Raw genomic sequence first — 2,010 nt, 5'->3', positions numbered from 1 at the left:
ATGTAAGTGGCCTTAATACAGATCTTCTAATATCCAAGCCTGTAGTGTCCCCTGGTCCACCAAAATACCTGTCCCCTGGTTTTCTGCATAGCTCTACACACTTATACATTTTAAACTCTTTTCTTACCTAATATTATTTTCAGAAATGTGGTTCCCTTTTCTATACTACTAATCTAGACATCATCTGAATAGCTGCACAATTTAAATTTTAACTTAATTTACTCAGCAGCTCAGGTCATGGCTCAGGCCACTCTGATTTTGCTGTATTAGAAGCAGTGCTACTGCAAACTTTTGGGGCCAGAACAATTTTCTTCTTCTGAATAATTAAAAAATGACATTAAGGATTCAACAAGTATGAATTTATGCCTCTTGATTCACCTTGGTGTTACTGACCTAAATAAAAACCCTGGGCCTATTTACTCATTACCCATAAATGCATGCATTCATTGCTTCGTTTAGCCATCTGTCCATGCATCCATCTACCTACCCAGACATATATCCATCCACCCACTCACCTACTCATCCATCCATCCATCCATCCACCCATCCACTCACCATCCATCCATTCACCTACTTACCCATCCATCTATCCATCCATCCAACCATCCATCCACCCATCCATCCATCCATCCATTCATCCATCCATCCACCTACCTACTTACCCATCCATATATCCACCCATATATCCATTCATCCACCTACCCACCTACCCACCCATCCATATATCCATCCATCCATCCATCCATCCATCCATCCATCCATCCATCCATCTACCTACCCATGCATTCATATATCCATCCATCCATCCACCCACCCATCTATTCATCCATCTATCCATCCACCCATCCACCCACCCACCCACCTACCTACTCACCCATCTATCCATCCATCTACATATCCACCCAATATATGCCTAATTTCCTCTAAGCCTTAAATATATTGCAGAAGTTCCAAAAAAGTGTACATTCTGGTATATGTGTGTGGATGTGGGAATAGCGGGGGAGTTCCCTGCCCTCCATCCTATTCCCCAATGTCTACCCTTTGGCTGAGGGACTTTTCTTAGAGTAGTCCCTGTCACTGCCCTGGCCACCCCCGCCAGCAACATGTTCCCAGGCTCTGCCCCCACCTCACTGCTCTCAGCCGACTCCCTCGTTGATGCTGGCAGTCCTGGTTCCCTTGACTTTCCTTTGTTTATTTTGGAAGGCCTGGTCATTTAGCGGCAGGCACTGCAGTCATTTGGTTCCAGCTGTTTCCCTCGGGCCTGGCTGGTGGATGGTCTGTGCTGGAGACAGCTGGCCTGAGTCGGGGGAAGTCAGGGCCCTGCGGGACAGAGACCAGCAGTAGCTCTTGGACATGCTTAAAGGACAGTAGCCTATTGTGGGAGAATTGACTGGGGCGGGCTTGGCTCCAGCTACCCCTTGTGGCCTTTGAGGGTCACAAGATATTTCTGAGGCACTCTGCTTTCTTCTGCCTACAGCCTGTAGCCCACCCAGCCCAGGCGGACACTGTGTGTGTGTGTGTGTGTGTGTGTGTGTGGTGTGGTGTGTGTGTATGCGTGTTTGTATGTGTGTGGTGTGTATGTATATGTGTGTGTATGTATGTGAATGTGTGTATGTGTGGTGTGTGTGTATCTGTGTGGTGTGTGTGGTATGTGTATGTGTGTGGTGTGTATGTGTTGTGGTGTGTGTGAGTGGTGAGTATATGTGTATGTGTGTGGTGTGTGTATTGTGTATGTGTGTGATGTGTGTGCATGTGTGTGTGGTGTGCGTGTATGTGTGAGTGTGTGTATGTCTGTATGTGTGGTGTATATGTGTATGGTGTGTGGTGTATGTGTGGTGTGTATGTGTGTGGTGTGTATGTATGGTGTGTGGTGTGTGTGGTGTATATGGTGTGTGGTATGTGTGTGGTATGTATGTATGGTGTGTGTATGTGTGTGTGGGTGTGGTGTTGGCACTGGCATGTGAATGTATGTGTGGTGTGTCTGTGTATGTGTGTGTGTGAGTGTGTGTA

The 2,010-nt window shown here is 46.7% G+C and overlaps 2 annotated features.

Annotated features, from left to right (window-relative positions):
- Positions 757-1,257: an enhancer, noted in NCBI's record as "H3K4me1 hESC enhancer chr2:47106253-47106753 (GRCh37/hg19 assembly coordinates)". NCBI's record gives its function as "activates a minimal SCP1, AML or CMV promoter by ChIP-STARR-seq in naive H9 embryonic stem cells {active_cell/tissue: H9 hESC(naive)}" and the evidence as "EXISTENCE:reporter gene assay evidence [ECO:0000049][PMID:30033119]".
- Positions 1,258-1,758: an enhancer, noted in NCBI's record as "H3K4me1 hESC enhancer chr2:47105752-47106252 (GRCh37/hg19 assembly coordinates)". NCBI's record gives its function as "activates a minimal SCP1, AML or CMV promoter by ChIP-STARR-seq in naive H9 embryonic stem cells {active_cell/tissue: H9 hESC(naive)}" and the evidence as "EXISTENCE:reporter gene assay evidence [ECO:0000049][PMID:30033119]".

Source organism: Homo sapiens, chromosome 2, assembly GCF_000001405.40.
Source record: "Homo sapiens chromosome 2, GRCh38.p14 Primary Assembly".
NCBI lineage: Eukaryota > Metazoa > Chordata > Mammalia > Primates > Hominidae > Homo > Homo sapiens.
Note: the sequence above shows the minus strand (reverse complement) of the source record. Positions and strands in the feature narration are given on the sequence as shown.